General features: G+C 36.7%; 1 protein-coding gene across 10 annotated transcripts in view; it reads right to left on the reverse strand.

Moving 5' to 3' along the window:
* AGBL4 (AGBL carboxypeptidase 4) overlaps positions 1 to 19254 on the reverse strand; it is a 1501444-nt gene that overhangs the window by 995175 nt on the left and 487015 nt on the right. The window lies entirely within an intron of this gene.

Raw genomic sequence — 19254 nt, forward strand, 5'->3', positions numbered from 1 at the left:
CACATAGAGTTTATCTTTAAGTACAAAGTACTTCTTTACAAAAAATTAAAATATAGAGACTCAAATTTATTAGAAATATTCAATATAACAATCTTTTAATGATTTCTGGAAGCATTTACAACCATAAATATATATGTACTATTTTAAAAGGTAAATGTACCATGGCAAACTGCTGCTGCTACCTTTCCTACCAATCTAATATTGAATCAGACTAAATATGTTAATGATTCACTGTTACAAATTCTGTTCCTTTATCAATAATCTCCCTACCTTTGCTATTGTACCCTGAATCATATTATTTGTTCATTCATTCATTCACTCATTCTACTTGGTGCCTATCATTTGCCACATGCAGTCCATAGACTGAAGTATAATGGGAATCCACTGCTGCTCTCAAGAGATTCACAGTTTGTAAGGGAAGCCAGACAACTGAACAGATAATTAACATACAATGTGATAAGTGCTGTGATATAAGGATGTTCAGGGGGGCTGTGTAGCATAGTTAGGTTACATTCATTCAGTCTGGAGGCCAATATATCAGGGAAAACCCAGGGCCTTCCTATCTATAAAAAATACTGAGATCCAACACACTTTTCAAAAAGCTTCCCTCAGCCCAATCTTCCCATGGGCGGTTTCTCCTCAAGACCTGTGACTCTATGACACCAAACCCTTCTCCATTCACTCAACCAATATTTATTGAGCATTTCCATTATGCCACACATTGTGCTAGGCACTGAAGTTACAAAGCTAAATAAGATAGAGATGTTTCTTGTACCATGAGTTTGTAATCTAATAAAAGAATCTGCTGTAGCCTTTGAAAAGATTGCTAATTATATAACATCAGTGTCAATAAGCAACTTGACTTTCGTACACCCTTGCTGTGTGACTTTTGACAAGTCATTTCACCTCTCTATCCTTGGTTTCTTCATTTGTAAAATGAAAATAATATTTGCCTTATTCAGTTTAAGGAATTTTCAAGATCAAAGGATATAATGAATGCAAAAGCACCTTGATACTATAAAGGAATGTAAAACTATGAGGAATTTTGTCATTCTCATGATTAAAAGATGGTTCTGATTTAATTAAATGTATGAATCACAAAATACTTAAATGCAATTGTATTACTTTTTAATATTTGTCGTAACTAAAAGCAGGCCAATAAACTACGATTTAGTACAGATCATTTGGAGATTCACTTAAAGGCACACATATAAAGTATTCACATTGATTTGTGAAAGTAGACATTTCTGAACTGTTCAAAAGCTGTCAGATCTCTGGAGGGTTATAAATAATCCCTCTTACAAAGAGGTTTATACAATTATTTGCTCTACTAAAAATAAGTTTGCATAGAAAATGCAAACATTAGCCTGAGTTATTTCCATTTTCATATTAACTGAAACTATATTAATGGGTTTCTACTACTTTGAAGTTGGAGAAAGGCATTGATATGCCATAGAAGATAGAAAATAGAATTTGTCATCAGAATACCAAACCTGACTTATGGCTATACCATTTGATGCCTATGTGATCTTGGGTGAGTCTCTTAAGAGAGAATGATATTGGTTTTTTATTCTCTAAAATATGGAAAATAAGCATAGACAAATGACAAGTTCATTATGAGAAATAAGTGAGATAGAACATCTGGAAAAGCTTTTCTTTTAATCTATAAAACAACTTAAAGATGTTAACTGATATTAATATTATCACTTTAGTCTGTATTTTAACTCTACTTACTTAAATAAATGATGTTCATACAATTAGTTTGCTTTTATTTAATACCGGAGTTCATCCTGTTTTACAGGTGAAAAATAAAACAGAGGCCAAAACACATTAGGAGTAAGAAATAGCACAGACTAGAAATGAGAAAATATGAATTTTAATATTATTTTCACCACCAGTGGCTTTGAAACCCTATGTAGTCACATATCTTTTTTATACCTTAGGATTCACTTTTGAAAACTGAGGCAAATACTCTACCTTGATCACTCTACAGGTATTAAAAACACAATGTGAAAACAACAACTCTGATTCCCCCAAAATATTTTGCCATGGCCAAGTCAGATAAACAAAAGAAATTTACCAACTCAAATGAGACTATGCAAACTAGGTGAGTCTATGAAGCTGAGTTTGGCAGAGACTAAAGGACTAAAAGTGGAAAGTAGGGAGTGAGGCATAGAGTGCTGTAGAACTGACAATTTCATAAATTAGATTGTTTTTGTTCTTGCTGATTTTTTAATGTTGTCCTTGTGGCTGTCAATGTGGGACAGTGAATAAGGGAAGTCAGAAGTGAGGGCCCCAGTAGTGGTTTAAAAATATAGATGGAGAATGCACATACAAGGTCTTGCTCAGATTCTAAGAACCTGAACAAATAACAATCTACTACTCCCTTGGCAATGCAAGATCAGCGTTGGAGACAAGTGACCTGATAATCTACTAGTGTCTCACTCTTTATTCTAATGATCTTTGGAAGGCTATGATTACCTGCTCATTGCTCCTGCCTGTTAGTATTTAACTTCCTCCTCTGGTTATGCTTGTTTTATTTATCATTAGGCACTGAAGCTCAGATCCTAAGGGCTTTCAAGAGCCTATGAAAATGTTTTGAGACTTGAAGAAAATATCATCTCAAAAATAAAACAAAACAACCCTGCAAAACTGAAATAAGTAAAAATTAAATACCTACAAAAATGACAACTACCCAACTGAACTTCAACTCAACTCTTTTTAAAGTATATATTAACTTTACTTAATTTGAATGGTACATTTTAATGTTTGATATGATGAGAGTTAGAACTCAAAAAGTAAGAAAGCCTAGAGCTTTCAAAAGTCATAATAAGGCCCTACCTGTTGCTTCTATCTCTACTTTACCCTGAACTTTGAATACCCTACTTTGAATATCTTGACTGCTCCCATTACAATCTATACTCAGCTATAATTTAGACTTTGGGTTTCTAAATCCTCATACGAACTTCCTGCTGACCTGGCTGCCTGATCTGATTCCTCCTCTAGACGCTGATTTCCAAACACACACAGCACTCCTCTCCCTTTCTGCCAATTCCTATTGAAAATAGAGTGCCACCTCTTAGCTTTCAATGTAGAAGTTTATCACTCACCAAAGATCACTCACTTTTTTTTTTTTTTTTTGGAGACGGAGTCTTGCTCTGTTGCCCAGGCTGGAGTGCAGTGGCATGATCTCAGCTCACTGCAACCTTGTCTCCTGAGTTCAAGCAATTCTCCTGCCTCAGCCTCCCGAGTAGCTGGGACTACAGGCATTTGCCATCACACCCAACTAATTTTTGTATTTTTAGTAGACACGGGGTTTCACCATGTTGGCCAGGCTGGTCTTGTACTCCCGACTTCATATGATCCACCCACCTTGGCCCCTCAAAGTGCTGGGATTACAGGCATGAGCCACTATGCCTCACCCATTCACTTTATGTAGTACATTTATAACGTACATTTATACAGTACATTTACAATTGCCATCAAGAAAAATTTTGCTGCCCAAAGCAATCTACAGATTCAACACTATTCCTATGAAACAACCAATGTTATTTTTCACAGAATTAAAAAGACTACTCTAAAATTCATATGGTACAAAAAAGAGCCTGACTAGTAAAAGCAATCCTAAGTAAAAAGAACAAAGCTGGAGGCATCACATTACAGGACTTCAAACTAAACTATAAGTTTATAGTAACCAAAACAGCATGGTACTGGTACAAAAACAGACACATAGACCAATGGAACAGAATAGAGAATCCAGAATAAATCCACACACCTATAGAACAGAATAGAGAACCTAGAATAAATCCATACACCTACACCCATCTGATCTTCAAAAAAATCAACAAAAATAAGCAATGGGGAAAGGACTCCTTATTCAATAAACAGTGCTGGGATAACTGGATAACTGGCTAGCTATATACAGAAGAATAAAAATGGACCCCTATCTTTTACCATAGAAAAAAACTAACACAACATGGATAAAATATTTAAACATAAGACCCCCAACCTATAAAAATTCTAAAAGAAAAACTAAGAATATCATTTTGAACATCAGTCTTGGCAAAGAATTAATGACTAAGTCCTCAAAAGCAATTGCAACAAAAATTAAAATTTACAAGTGGGACCTAATTAAACTAAAGAGTGTCTTCACAGCAAAATAAACTATCAACAGAGCAAACAGACAACCCATAGAATGAGAACAATAGACATTGGAAACTATTAGAGGGGGGAATGAGTGCAGGGGCAAGGGCTGGAAAACTACCTATTGGGTATTTTGCTCACTACCTGGGTGATGGGATCATTCGTACCCCAAACCTCAGCATCATTCAATAAACCCATGTAATAAACCTACACATGTACCCTCTGAATCTAAAATAAAAGTTGAAATTATAAAAACAGAAAAATTTGTTACAGTCTGTCCTAGAACTGCCAATAACTGCCACAATCTAATCATACTGCTATGATTGCATTTATCATATTGAGTTAGATTTTTTTTGTTTATTGTAATTTTCTCTTTATCATAGATCCACCATTTACTATCTGTATGACCTTAGGTAAGTTTCGTAAGCTCTCTGAGCCTTAGTTTTCTTATGAGTAGGTGGGTATAATAATATGGAGTCTCTGATCCTCTGTATTACCTAATCAACATCTAGCCTGTTTCAAACCTTAATAATCACTTCTTCAGAGAAATCTCCCTGTGTCACTAGACCATACGCAACATGCCTTCTCATCGTAATTTTTTCCACACACATTTTTCCTACACCTGTTTATTGTGTGGGAATATTTGATTAATATCTACCTGCCCTATTAGACTATAAGAACTGTAATCACTAGTGCCTGGTTTTGCTCAATTTTACATCCCAGCCCAGTCCAGTAGCTGCCTTATGATAGATTCTCAATAAATATTTGTTGAATGAATAAACATTTTCTTTTTCATGATCCTGGCTTTTATTTCAAATTTTTAGGAGGACCACTCAATCACAAATGGACCCTTTCACTTAGCTCCTGTAATTTCTTTCCTTAGAGCTAGACCATGATCTGCCATTTCTCTAGCCACTACCTAGCATCTCTCCCCTGAATCAATCTGGAAAAAACCTTTCTGATACAGTGTAGAAGCACAGCATGAGCACGGATCAGGTATCAGTAACACCTAGCACTTAGACAATACTTACCATTGATGTACTTCCACCATTAGTGCCAGGCCAGTACATTAGTTTAAACAGTGCTTGCCCTCTGCTCAGCAAAGGTGTACCTGCCCCTTGGAAATGTTCAATCCAGAGAAGGTGGTAGGGTATATTTCAGGGGTGCATAGCAATGTATGAGGAGGTCACAGCACAGGACTCTTGCTGTTAAAATCCACCCCGATTACCTGAAATTCCTTCATTAAGCTAATCTTTGGAGTTCTTGGGCTGTTTTCTCATCATTAAGATCATTCCATTAACTCCTGAGATCTGGGATTCAGCTATATTTTCATACGAATCAATGACAAATATCATCCATAAGTTGGATAGTGCAAGAAAAGGTTATCTGTGGGAGATATTAAGGTTATCAAAAGAACATTTTAGTGAGGCATAAATACCAAGCAAAATAGGCACATGATTGAAAATAAGAAGACCTTAACTCTAGTTATGTTTCCACCATTTACTATATGTGTGGCTCTGGACAAGTCCCTGAAGTTCTTTGTGTCTCAGATCAATTTCCCCATTACACAGCGCAGAGTCATAAGGATTAAATAAGAACATAAAGTGTTAAGAATATATATAGTGCTTTGTGTAGCACTGGACCTTAAATATTGGTGCAATTATAGTATTTTTCACTTGATTCCAAAAAACTGGTATTTGTTTGATTTCTTTCAGATTGAACCTAATTTCCATAACTTTAAGTACATAATAACTGGGAGGTGAAGACAAGGAAAAGGAAGACTATATTCTGAAAAGACCCTTAACACGTGACGTAAGGTTGATTTTAATCCTTCCATTTGACTGATGTCAACTCAAATTAATATAATGTAAAATCAGATAACTTCATCATATTAATGAATAAATCAATTAGATAGTTATCAAGCAACCACACAGTGTTACGCACTGAATGCAGAAATGAATAAGCCATGATTATCCCTGCACTCAGCCTAAACTCACATATAAGTTCTAAGTGGGTAGGGTTCATGCCTGTCTTTCCAATATCTATACCCACAATGGCTAGCCAAGTGCCAAATAGCAAGGGCCTCAGTCATGTGGTCCAGGGTTCAGACAATGATGAGCATTATCACCATCATCATCATCATCATCATCATCATCATCATGAAGACAGCACTAACAATTTCTTGAGTGCTTGCTATGTGGCAAGCACTTTGTACACATTGTGTCATTTAACCCTAACACAAATGCTACAAGGTACAGTAAGTATATTATGCATTATTTATATCACCACCTACCTCCTTCATACATCTGCCCTGGCCCTCAAGACTTAAGTTTGATATTCTAAGCACACACATTCATCTCCTTACTACTATGAATAATAATAATAAAGAATACTTTCTATGTACCAGATTCTGTTCTACATACATTAATTATATTGAAGCATTTCAGCTTCACAACACTCGTATCAGGTAAGTATTGTTAATATCCTCATTTTATAGACAGGGTAAGTAACTTGTCCAAGTACACACAGCTAGCAGAGTCTGGATCTGAACAAAAGTAGTCTTCAGTCAAAGTCTGTGGTCTTAATTACTCTGCAATGTCCAGCAGGTGAGACAAAGTAGGAGCAGGATCATTTTAACCAAAAGAGAATATAGTCCTGGGCATCTAAAAGCCTGGTTAAAGATGTATTATAGTTAAGGTTCTTATATCTGGCCTCTGGACTGACCAGTGCCATACTGGAATATCTCTGCAGGGCCTTAAATAAGGAGTCCACATGGTCACTACAGTTATGCAGAACTTTTTTTTTTCCATTATCAGACACACATTATAATGTCTCTCTCTTGCCATACAATCCATCCCTCTCTGCCCAGGAAACTTCAAATTTTCTTTAAAGACACTTCCCAAGAAGCTTTTCTTGGCCCCTTCTTTGTAACACCATAATAATTTACTCATGCCTTTATTATGATACCTATGATACTACCTTATAACCACTGATATCACTCCTACTAATGCGTGAACCCCTTATGAATAATAAACCAGTCTAATTCACTCTAATAGCAACCTCAGAGATGAACAATGGCAGAAGTAAGCCTTAATTTTTTAATTAAAGAGTATGGGCTTTGGGCTTAGTGAAATCCGATTTGACCCTTGCTCAATAATTTACGACTGCATTATCTTGGGTAACTTATTCTTCTGTTTTCCCTTCTACAAAATGGAAACAATAATATGTACCTTGCAAGGTTGCTGTTAGGAATATATTTATTAATCTCAGCTTATATTTACTGAATGCCAACTATGTGCCAGGGATAATTCTGGGTACTGGGGATATGGTGGTGAACAATATAGACAAGATCCTTGCTTCACTGGAGTTTATATTGTATTGGAGGATACAAATAATAAATACATTAACAAACAAGAAAAATCTGATAATAGCAGGAATTATAAAAAGAATTAAAATAGTGATATAATAGGATTATATACAAACCTGCTGTAGAGTGAGTGGTCAGGGAAAGCTTGCAGAAAATACAACATTTACTGAGATCTCAGTGACAAGAAGAAGCCATGAGAATAGAGGTAGGGGGAGTGCCTTTCTAGGCAAAGGAACTAGCCAGGGTAAAATCCTTAAAGGCAGTAATGAGCTTGGTGAGCCTGAGAGAATCTTTTCTTCTTTTTATGTAATGTCTTCCCTCCCTTTCACTCAGCAGAAATAAGACAGGTCTATAGTAGCCTCTTGTTTGGGCATGGAAATAAAGAGGAGGGGGCAACAGGAAGGAAGCACAGTATCAGGCATTCCTTTACTTTACCTAGATCTTATGTAAAAGGGGAAAAGAAGCACCCTGCTCACCAGGGAAGAGGCCAGACGGGAGTTCAGGGGCACAGACTTCACTAAGAAGAAAGAGCATTCCATCAGCCTAAAGTGTATCGTGAGGAGACACTCCACAGAAACCTAATGATGGCTGCATAAACATTAGGCCTCTGCACCGGGCACAGTGGCTCACGCCTGTAATCCTAGTACTTTGGGAGGCCAAGGCGGGTGGGTCAGGAGGTCAGGAGATCCAGACCATCCTGGCTAACACGGTGAAACCCCGTCTCTACTAAAAAAAAAATACAAAAAATTAGCCGGGCATGGTGGCGGGTGCCTGTAGTCCCAGCTACTCGGGAGGCTGAGGCAGGAGAATGGCGTGAACCCTGGGAGGTGGAGCTTGCAGGTGAGCCGAGATCGCACCACTGCACTCCAGCCTGGGCAACAGAGTGAGACTCTGTCTCAAAAAAAACAAAAAAACAAAAAAAAACCATTAGGCCCCTGCCTTAGGATTAGCAATTGCTCAATAAACACCTACTGGATGAACAAATAGGCTTTTGCTGCAATGTAAGGCCTTGCTTTCACAGAAGAGTCATTAAATAACCCTATCTTACTGAAAACTCTGTCATACCATAAAAAGATATAAAGAGAAAAAAACTACAAAATCTGGAGAGTCTGGCCTATTTTACTGCTCTTGTCCTTGATCTTACATTTGTACTTTGTGTGTCTTGGGATGCTCACTTCATAAATATTTTACACAAATAAAAATAGAAACTTCTAAACTGTGACCAGAACAATACATTTGAAAGCTGCATAATATAAATTGCCTTTGCTTAATAAGAGAAAAAAAAGAAGGAGCATAATGTCATAAATAAGTCATTTATGCTTACTGACTAAGGAATCTCCCATTTGGAGAGTCAAATATAAATATAGGTAGGTGGATACCAAAAAAAGCCAGTCTCCAGTGGCTTTGCATCCACTATGAAGCAACAAATTTAAATGTATCATTAAAAAAACCTCATCCCTAGTGACAAGTCAATGTCTAGAAGACAGTTAAATGAGTGTTCAGCAGAGGATGACAAAGAGTTTGGAGCATAGAATATGACAGAGTTCTTTCCATGAACATCGATTACAACAAGGCAGCAGTTATTCTGTCTGGAAGAGAAACATTTATTCTGTGTTTGACATTGTGCATGGTATCTAATTGACCAGTAATAGCATTTTCTGTGTAATTCTGGAGTGATTTCTTAAAGGTAAAAGCAGTAGAAAAAGTACATTTTCTGATACTGTCCAGCAGCAGCCAGATAACTGAGATAACTGATGTACTTTAATTCAACTTTATTTGAAGAAAAAGCAAACATTAGGTTGATGATACTGTACTTAGAAATTATTTATCCTTTCTCTTATTTAAGTAACATTTGTTAAGTAAATACTATGTGTCAGATCCTAGGCTAGAAACTAAAAATAATAAAACCTCTCCTTGACTACCAGACGCTCACAAGGCAGATGTACCCTATATAACTAACTGTAATTCAGTTTTTTTGGTCTTTAAAAGAAGGTGTATCCAAGTGCTCAATGAGAACATTGTACTCTTTCTCCACGACCATTCCTCAAGGTCCCTGACCTTACCAAGTGGCAGGTACCGGAGACCTGCACCTTATATCTTAGTCCCATCCAGTCATCAAGCCCATGAACATCAAGCATGTACATGAAAAGCCCTATCCGTATCAGAAATTGGTATTTAGAATAAGGCTTATAACACCCTGACCTCAGGGCTTAGTGCTTGGGAGCAGGCCCAACTTACTCATTCATTTAATCAAAAACATTAAATAAGCTTTTATTAGATGCTGGGTCATAAGCCTCAATGTACCATTTACCTGCAGACTTTCTTCCATTGCTATCACAGGGGCCTACTTCTTTACATCCAGGATATGCCCAAGCTCTTAGTTTTCACTTCAGTTATCAATAAGATTTCCTGTGAGAATAAAGCACTATTTTAAACTCCATCCCACTTGACTGGACAAATTACAACTCTTATAACGTTTATCAAGCCATCCCTTTGGGGAATTTGCCACCATTCTCGGTGCCCCATCCACTAGCTCGGATCCTTTCAATCTCTAACTCCAGCCAGAATGAAGAGACTGCTAACCATGAAATATGCAAATAGCTTTGCTTCAACCTAGAAATACTTTCAGACTTGCTCAACTCAGCAGACAGGAAATACTTGGGATGCAGTTATATAGCACTTGGTTATCAAAAGTTAGACTCCTCCACACCTGATCCAAAGGAGTGGATCTGCAGCTTCAAATCTGCAATGTGTAACTCTGACCCCCAGGTCATAGCTGATTGACTGAGTTAGACAAATTAGATTTTTTTTCAACAGGACATCAAAATTAGGAGAGACAGCAAGTCTCTGGGTACGTAGTCCCCTACAAAGTGACTGATTTTAGAGATGCTGAGGAAGTATGACGTTTGGGATTTGATGACTAATATGATGCACAGGGTAGATTATAAGATAAAGAGAACTGCACGGTCACCACATTCTGTCTTGGGCAAGGAGATGTAGAAAAAGCATGTCAGGAAGGAAAAGCAGAGAAAAATAAAGGCTGAGATAAGGAACAAAGAGTGTCCAATAAGTACTCATGGTACTTATGAGACACTTACGTATCTTATTATAAACTCTTGTTTTTTTCAACTTAAACTAGCTTGAGTTGATTTCTGCCACTTACAAGCAAAGAATCCTAATCAATATAGCACTTCTATATAATTTGGCTCCATAAACTTGTTAGTGTCCCCAACTGTTCCAAGATCCCTCTGCTCTCTTTATGATTAAACCTGGTTCATTTGTTCACTCATCCACTCAGTCCTCTAGAAACATTTACTATGTACCAGGTATTATGCTAGACATAATCCCCACCTCAAATTACTTATTAACCTATAGGGGAGATAAGTAAGCAATTATAATATAGAACAATTGGGGCCAGAAAATAGTCAAACATGAAGCTCTGGGAGCACAAACGTTTAGGTGGTACCCAAGGGTTTAGGTGATCAGGAAAAAATTTCCAGAGTGATTGACATTTATAAGATGAGTGGGAGATTGGTGGACGAAAAATTTTTAAAAAAATTAGAAAGTAAGGGGAAGAATGATATTTCAGGCAGAGGAAAGAGAATGTACAAAGCAAGGAAGTTTGAGATCCTATGGTTTATATATAAGAAATTACAAGTAGTTCTTTACGGTTGGAGCTGTGTGGGTGTATAAACAGAGGGGAGTAAATAGTAGGAGATGAAGTTAGAGAGGTAGAAAATTCTAGGTCATAAAAAGTCTTGTACATTAAGCTCTAGAATATGAACTTAATTTTAAACACTACAAAGTCATTAAAGAATCATGGACCAAAAAGTTATAAGATCAGATTATTATTTTAGAAACATTATTGTGTCAATCTGGAGGATGGATTGCAAAATGGGGGTGCAGGGCTGTAATCAGGAGAGAGAACCATAAACACAAAAAGGCTAGGAAGAAACTGAATGCAGTAATGCTGAGAATAGGTAAAAGCCTGAAATAAGACCGTGGTGATAAATTTGAAGAGTAGGAAATGTCTTTGAGAGATAATGGGGAATATAATCTGTGGTACTTGGATATTTGGATTTTGGGATAAGAAAAAATTTGAAAAGACTATTTTATTTCCATCTTGTATTACAGTTCAAAAGATGATACCCTGAATGAAATGTAGAACAAAGGAGAAAGAGCAAATGTAAGGAAATAAATCTGGCCAGGCATGGTGGCTTATGCCAGTAATCCCAGCACTTTGGGAGGCCGAGCAGGCAGATGACTTGAGGCCAGGAGTTCAAGACAAGCCTGGCCAACATGGTGAAACCCCTTCTCTACTAAAAATATAAAAATTAGCTAAGCATGGTGGCACATGCCTGTAATCCCAGCTACTCAGGACGCTGAGGTATGAGAATCACTTGAACCCAGGAGGCAGAGTGCAGGGAGCTGAGATTGTGCCACTACACTTCAGCCTGGACAACAGCGCAAGACCCTGTCTCAAATAATAATACTAATAACAATATTATTGTTACTATTCAATAACAGTTTTAGACAGTTTAGTTTGAGGTGTATGTGAAATGCTCAAGGGTACATGTGTAGGAGGCAGTTACAAATGGGGTATGGCTTCTAGCAGACAGTTAAGGGCTAGAGATAAATGTTCCGGGACCTTATTGAAGCTCTGGGTGAATATTAAATCATAAAAAGAGAGTGCATAACATCAGCAGAGCGGGGGTAAGAGAAGAAACTCTGAGATATTTAAGAGGTGAAAGAGGAAAAGGAGATGGGAATGGAGAGGAAAACAGGGTTAGGTCATCAAGGCCCTTGTGTCACAATACTTGGCACACAGTAGGGCTCAGTAAATATTTATTTTTTGAATGAATAATAAAAGATTACCACTTGCTTCTGTACATGGTATGAAACTACTGAACATTTCTAAGAGACTTGACTTCACTGAACCTAAATTATCATCAACATTGTCGTCATGATCATTGTTATCATCATTATTATCATTTTCCCTTACATTTGGATTTTACATTATTGTTTTAAAAAGTTTCCACAGCTATGTTTTCAAGTAGAATTTGTAAAAAAAAAAAAACAAAAAAAAACTCTATGAGTTTTTTTTTATTATTATACTTTACGTTTGAGGGTACATGTGCACAACGTGCAGGTTTGTTACATACGTATACATGTGCCATGTTGGTGTGCTGCACCCATTAACTCTTCATTTAACATTAGGTATATCTCTTAATGCTATCCCTCTTTTTATATGTGGAAATATTGAGGCTTAAAGCAATGAAGTAGCTAGCTAAAAGCTTGTAAGAATCCTCAGGTTTTTAATCTGACTTCCAGTTCAGTTTTCATTTAAGTATATCCCAGCCACCTCTCTGAAATAGTCTCTTAAAATCACATGGTATTTTGGGATTGGGAAAATAATCATATGCACCATCCTATTTGATAATATATGGGTTTATTTGTGGATATTACAGATACCTGGGTTGCATTGGACTGAGAGGCTTCTTGGGACTTAGGGATTTCAGGATTAAAACTAAGAAAGTCCAAGGAAAAGTGGGAACAGTTAATTACTCTACCATTTATTATCATCCTGAAGAGAGTAAATATAATAAAATGATTAAGAATATAAGCCCTAGTGTTAGACTACCTGGATTCAAATCCTGCATCCTATCTCATACTGGCAAAGCAACTAGACAAATTACTCAACTTTTCTGTGCTTCTGTTGTCTTATCTATAAAATAGGGGAAATAAAAATACCTAAACACTGAGGATTAGATGAAATAGTATATGTAAATACCTAGGTCAATACCTAGCACAGAGCACTCAATCAATAAATTCTCACCTCATATGTATTATTTCTATTCTTTCCCACAGTTTGCCTCTAAATTATATGTGGCTTAGTATTTTTATTTTCTAATTTTGATATCAAGTTAGAGGATTTTGGTATCTTTGGAGAGTGACTTCACAGGATAAGAAAGAAAAGAACCCTAGCATCAGTCTCTGCAAGTGTTCTTTCTCTGAGACCTAAGCTGCTGAGAAGAGTGCACTGGGCTGTCTTTAAGTCTGGCTCATTTATTTTGTGGCACTAGGCATGTCAGTTTCCCTCTCTGGGTTTAAGTTTACTCATCTGCAAAACAAAAAGATTTAAATGATCTGTAGAGTCCCTTCTATGTTGGGCATTCTATGATGTCTCTATTCCCTAGACTTTACTGAAAGAATGACAGAGGAAACAAACCCTACTCTAGCAACCCTTTTAAATTCCAAAGTCCAGAGATGAAAAAATGAGAATAACCAAAGGATTTCTGTGAAACAGTCATAAACTTACAATAATTGTGACTTTTTAAAAATAAGAAATCAGAACAACAATTCACTGTTGACTATTTAGTAATAGGTATTGTTCTCATTATTTTATAGATATCATATTGTCATCATATTCTAATTCTCACAACAACCCTGTGATGTAGTTATTATTATCCCTATTTACAGATAAGACAACTGGGGTTCTGACAAGTTCTATAATTTATCAAAGTCACACATCTGTCAAGAGATGAGAGCAGATCTTTAATTTGAATGCATACAATTCAAATGCCCATGGTTTTCCTACACTAGCACGTTACTATTGATGACTATCCATCTCACCCCATAAGAGGCTCTCACATTTAGAGTATAGACATAAGATAACATAAAAACACAATTTCATAATATCCTCAAAAGAAAACTATACACATATGCTAATGGTCTGTCCCAACATTACAATTTATGGGAAAAGGTATATACAATACACTCTATTTTGACTTTAGTAACTCTCACTACGACTGCTCAGGAAAGCAAAGCCACCATCTGTAGAATGGAATATGGTCTTTTGTTAGTTCCCCTTCATCATATTTTCCCATCAGTTTGATTTCACAGGAAAGAAATCCCCTTCCCTCATCTGTATGGTACCTTTCAGCTGAGCCAAGGGAACTCTAGCTGAAAGCAAACTAGACTGTCATCTCTATGAAGGCAGGCAGGATCATGTCTGCTTTGTTAAACATAGAATATCAGTACCTAAAACAATTCCTGAAATATAGAACATGCTCAGGGAATTAGCTTTTATTATATTATGCTGCAGTATAGCCTAGTTTGTCCTGATGATTACATAACCCTAAATCAAATGGATACAAAAGAGCTGAGATTCAAATTCATGTTTTTGTGATAACAAAGCTCATACTCTTTTCACTAAGTAAAAAGTTAAAACATTGAATTTCATGTTGCTCAGGAATACTTACTCATCCCTTCTTCTAATCCCTTCCTTGTTCATTATCCAAGTAAATACAAAATTAGGTGCATTTCCCTAATTTATAGTTGAATTATATACCACTCCAATTAAAAATTATGCCTTTGTGTTACACTGCAAGACAGAAAAATGTTACTGGGCCATTGACCATGTGCTTTCACCTTTAATTACATTTAGTTTAATATACTTTTACAAAGAAAAGGGAATCAAGAAGTATTATCTGTTAAGCATCCACTCTATTCTAGGCATTGTCCTGGAAGCTTTAAGTAGATTACCATTATTTAGCTTCCACTGTTTCTAAGGTCACCTATCTACCAAGTGATGGCACAGAAATTCAAACCCAGGTCTGTGCATTTTAAAATCTGTTTTTATTTTGCTATTCCCTTTCCATTTTGCATGGGCACAGTGTCCTTTTTATACTGTTATGGTTTCAGGAAAATCCACTGCAGTTTTTCTGCCCTCCTGACATGGTTCTCTTATTTGCCAGAGAATGTACCTCTTAAACTATCTTCAGGCACTATTATTTCTGGCATTCCACAGTACAATTCTGCTAGTTTTCCAATTCCTACCTACCTCTCAGTCTAGTCTGTTTATATGTCTAGAAGTTACTATGAACTCATTAACTGATTTTCTTACAAGTTAGTGGCTTCTGATCCTCTTTATTCCACCCAGTGCTTCACTTCCCTTCTCTTCACAACCACACCCACAATACCACCTACACCCCGCCCCCACACACAGACATCCAGACAGGTAATCCATGTTTCTGCTATTCTTTAATCTGGGTCCTGGACTTCCACTATGCCCTCTGACTCTGCGCTTCTAAACTCAACATGTACCTTTAAACTGGTTGTGCTCCATGACCTGGTCAGTTTAGAAAATAAGCCACAAATATGAATGCTTAATCCTGGTAATGATCTAAATTCTTCACCTCAAGTCAAAAGATGATCTTTTTCCAGGGGTCCTCAATCTGCTTGCACTTATTCTTGTTCTCCCGTTTCCATTTTCCTTTCTCAGAAGCCCAGCTACAGAGAAGCTTCAAATACAACCTTAGGGGCTGAATCAGATGACTACTCAGGTCTCTTCCTGCATGGAGATTTTAAGATTCTGGATTATTATGCCAAGGTTTTCTTAGTGCAAGGTCTTCAATCTATTCTCCTGTTAGCTATACTCTACTCTTCAAGTCCTGAGGATTATCACTATCACAACCATTTAATCAGATTTCTGTATGCCTTGCTGACACATAATTCAGATTTCTCTAGGATCCTATATGATTCTTGAGCCCATATTTGCCCGCTTCAACATCCACAAATTCCCTCATATTCTTGTCTGCTGGGTTTCTGATCCTGCTTCACCTTGACCTTGGATTTGAACATATTCTTAGACACCTGATCTTTGGCTTGGCTTTTAACTACCTAGCCCCAACACTAGCCCTGCAAGTGTGAGTCACGCTGCAGGTTGGGCATAGATTTGGGAATGAGTTGAAGCACAGAATCTGCAGATTTGGGGATTTCGCCAAAGAGAAGGGTCTAGGGTTTCTAAAGAGGGGTCAAATTTCTATAATACTCTATCAACTTTCTAAGTATAACCACCAATTGAATAAACATTTCTTGGACATCAACTAAAAAGCATTTTTCTATTCCCTTGCATGTGTTAGCTCATTAAATCCTCACAAAAGCCCCATGAAGCAGGGATCAACACCATTTTACAAAAAAAAAAAAAAAAAAAAAAAAGCACAAAAATTACCTATGGGCACAGAATACAAGTCAAAATGCATGCCACAATATGGCTAAAATAATGATGTTCTTTAAATAGAAGTCAGTATATTTCTGTAAATTAGTTAGTCAAAAAAGCAATTTACAAAGAAAAAATATATCAACCATTTATTCTGAGATAAAAGGGTACAATACCTGTAACCCTACCAATATCTCCCTGCCCAGGCTATAATATGACCAATTCAGTCAGTGTCTTTGCTCCTGCCTCACATACACCTTTCCCAAAGCCAGGTTAAAGAAAACACTTTCTCTGAGAGACATTAAGTCTTCAGTCAAGTGTTTGCAAGTAGCACATGACCCAAAAGGATGATGTTCCTAGACAGAAAAGGTCCATTATTTGCTTAATAGTATACATAGTAGCACTCAATAAAAAAGAATGACCTTCCCAGACAGAGAAAGGCCACTCCTACATCGAGCAGGTATGAGAGCCCTGGGTTTGCAGAGGGAGATCTTCCCAGATAGAGGAGGCTCTTGCAAGGGTTTATGAAGCTGAACACTCCCTGTAAGAATCTCCATCTAATCTGGCAAGATTTGACCTACTTTGTACAAAGGTCACATTTCAGTATTTTAGAAGCCAAGACCACCAGATCACACCGTGAAGTTCACGGTACTGCTGATGGATAAAAGTTGCTCATATGGAGAATCAGAAAAATGTTTACACATTGAAACAATGATAAGAAATGTGATTAAAGTATTACTAAAATTGGAAATAACCTCTTTAGGACATCACCCCTCCCCTAGCCCCAGGCTGCACAGCTCTTGGCTCCCAAAGACACTCCTTCCTTCCCCTTGAAAAGAGGTGAGGGAAGAGTGAAAAGGACTTTGTCTTCAATATTGACACTTTTACAAGATGACAGTATGTACATGAAACAGTATATTATATGCATCAAACAGTTCAGTGAAACAGAGTAGAAAATCCACAAACTAACCCAAGTGCAGAGAATAACTTTATAGATTAAAAAATATGTCATTTGAAAGCAGTTGGGAAAGGATATATTAGTCAATAATGGCTAAGATCATCTGGCTAACCATTTGGGGGAAAATATATTACAAACCTATCTCATTCTATACATTAATATATTAATATAATATAATATGTAATATGACATAATAATATGTTATATTATTATATATTATAATATATAATAAGATAAGATAAAAATAAAATGTAAAGAAAATGAAATCACAAAAGTGTTAGATTTTGGTATTTATATAATTTAGTGGGAAAAAACTCTGACTACAATACCAAACCAGACAACTTAAAAGATTGACTGACTTTACTAAAATATACTTTAAAAATCTACAGAAAAGAGAATGAAAAAGGGAAAAGTGAGCAAACTGAGTATAAAATATATAACAAATAATTATTTGACATGTGCTACCTTTTTATCCAACATTGACATTTTTGGTATTAATTTTCTTTTACTGATTATTCATTAAACTTTTCGTTTGGTTTTTTTTGTTTGTTTTTTGAGACGGAGTCTCCCTCTGTCCTCCAGGCTGGAGTGCCGTGGCGCGATCTCGGCTCACTGCAAGCTCGGCCTCCTGGGTTCACGCCATTCTCCTGCCTCAGCCTCCCAAGTAGCTGGGACTACAGGTGCCTGCCACCACACCCGGCTAATTTTTTGTATTTTTAGTAGAGACGGGGTTTCACCGTGTTAGCCAGGATGGTCTAGATCTCTTGACCTCGTGATTGGCCTGCCTCAGCCTCCCAAAGTGCTGGGATTACAGGCGTGAGCCACCGTGCCCCAGTGAAATAATGTTTCAGAAGAATAAATTTTATTGAACATTTTTTGAGTTCCTTTTAGTAGTTGTTACTAGTTTTCTATTAATTACAAGTCATAAAATATTTATTTAGCTTTCATTGTATCATCTTTCTACTTTTAAGAATATTTCTACTCTGAGTTCCTTAAGCTATAGGACAATTTGAAAACAAAATACCAACAGTAAATAACAAAGAAAAAGAACAATGAGTACTTTAGCAAAATGGAAAGAGTTGTGGTGATGTCTTAACAATAAGCTTTTAGAGCCCCCTGTGTGTCTATATTGTATATTACTAGGAATTCTGTGTTGCTTGAGATAGTAGACACATCACAGCAACAGAGCAGAAATTTTTATCTGTGTGTGTGCGTGTGTGTTCATGTGCATGTGTGTGTTGGGGTCATGAAATAGTTGATAATTTTTGCATTTAATTTTTATTTTTTGTATTCTGAATAAAAAAATTAGTAACATTAGCTTTAACCAAACACTACAAATTCAATGTCAATCCTATCAAAGAAAATACCAACATCATCTTTCACAGAATTAGAAAAAACAACCCTAAAATTCATACGGTACCAACAAAAGCCCAATAGACAAAGCAATCCTAAGCAAAAAGAATGAAGCTGGAGGCATCATATTATGTAACTTCAAATTATATTACAAGGCTATAGTAACAAAATAGCATGGTATTGGTATAAAAATACACACATTGATTAATGAAACAGAATAGAGAACCCAGAAATAAAGCCACATATTTACATCCAACTGATCTTTTAAAAAGATGACAGAAACCTGATGTCAGGAGTTCAAAATCAGCCTGGCCAACATGGCAAAACCCCGTCTCTACTAAAAATACAAAAATTAGCCAGGCATGTGGTGGGCGCCTGTAATGCCAGCCATCGGGAGGCTGAGGCAGGAGAATCACTTAAACCCGGGAGCTG

The sequence above is a fragment of the Homo sapiens genome, chromosome 1, assembly GCF_000001405.40.
Source record: "Homo sapiens chromosome 1, GRCh38.p14 Primary Assembly".
Classification (NCBI taxonomy): domain Eukaryota; kingdom Metazoa; phylum Chordata; class Mammalia; order Primates; family Hominidae; genus Homo; species Homo sapiens.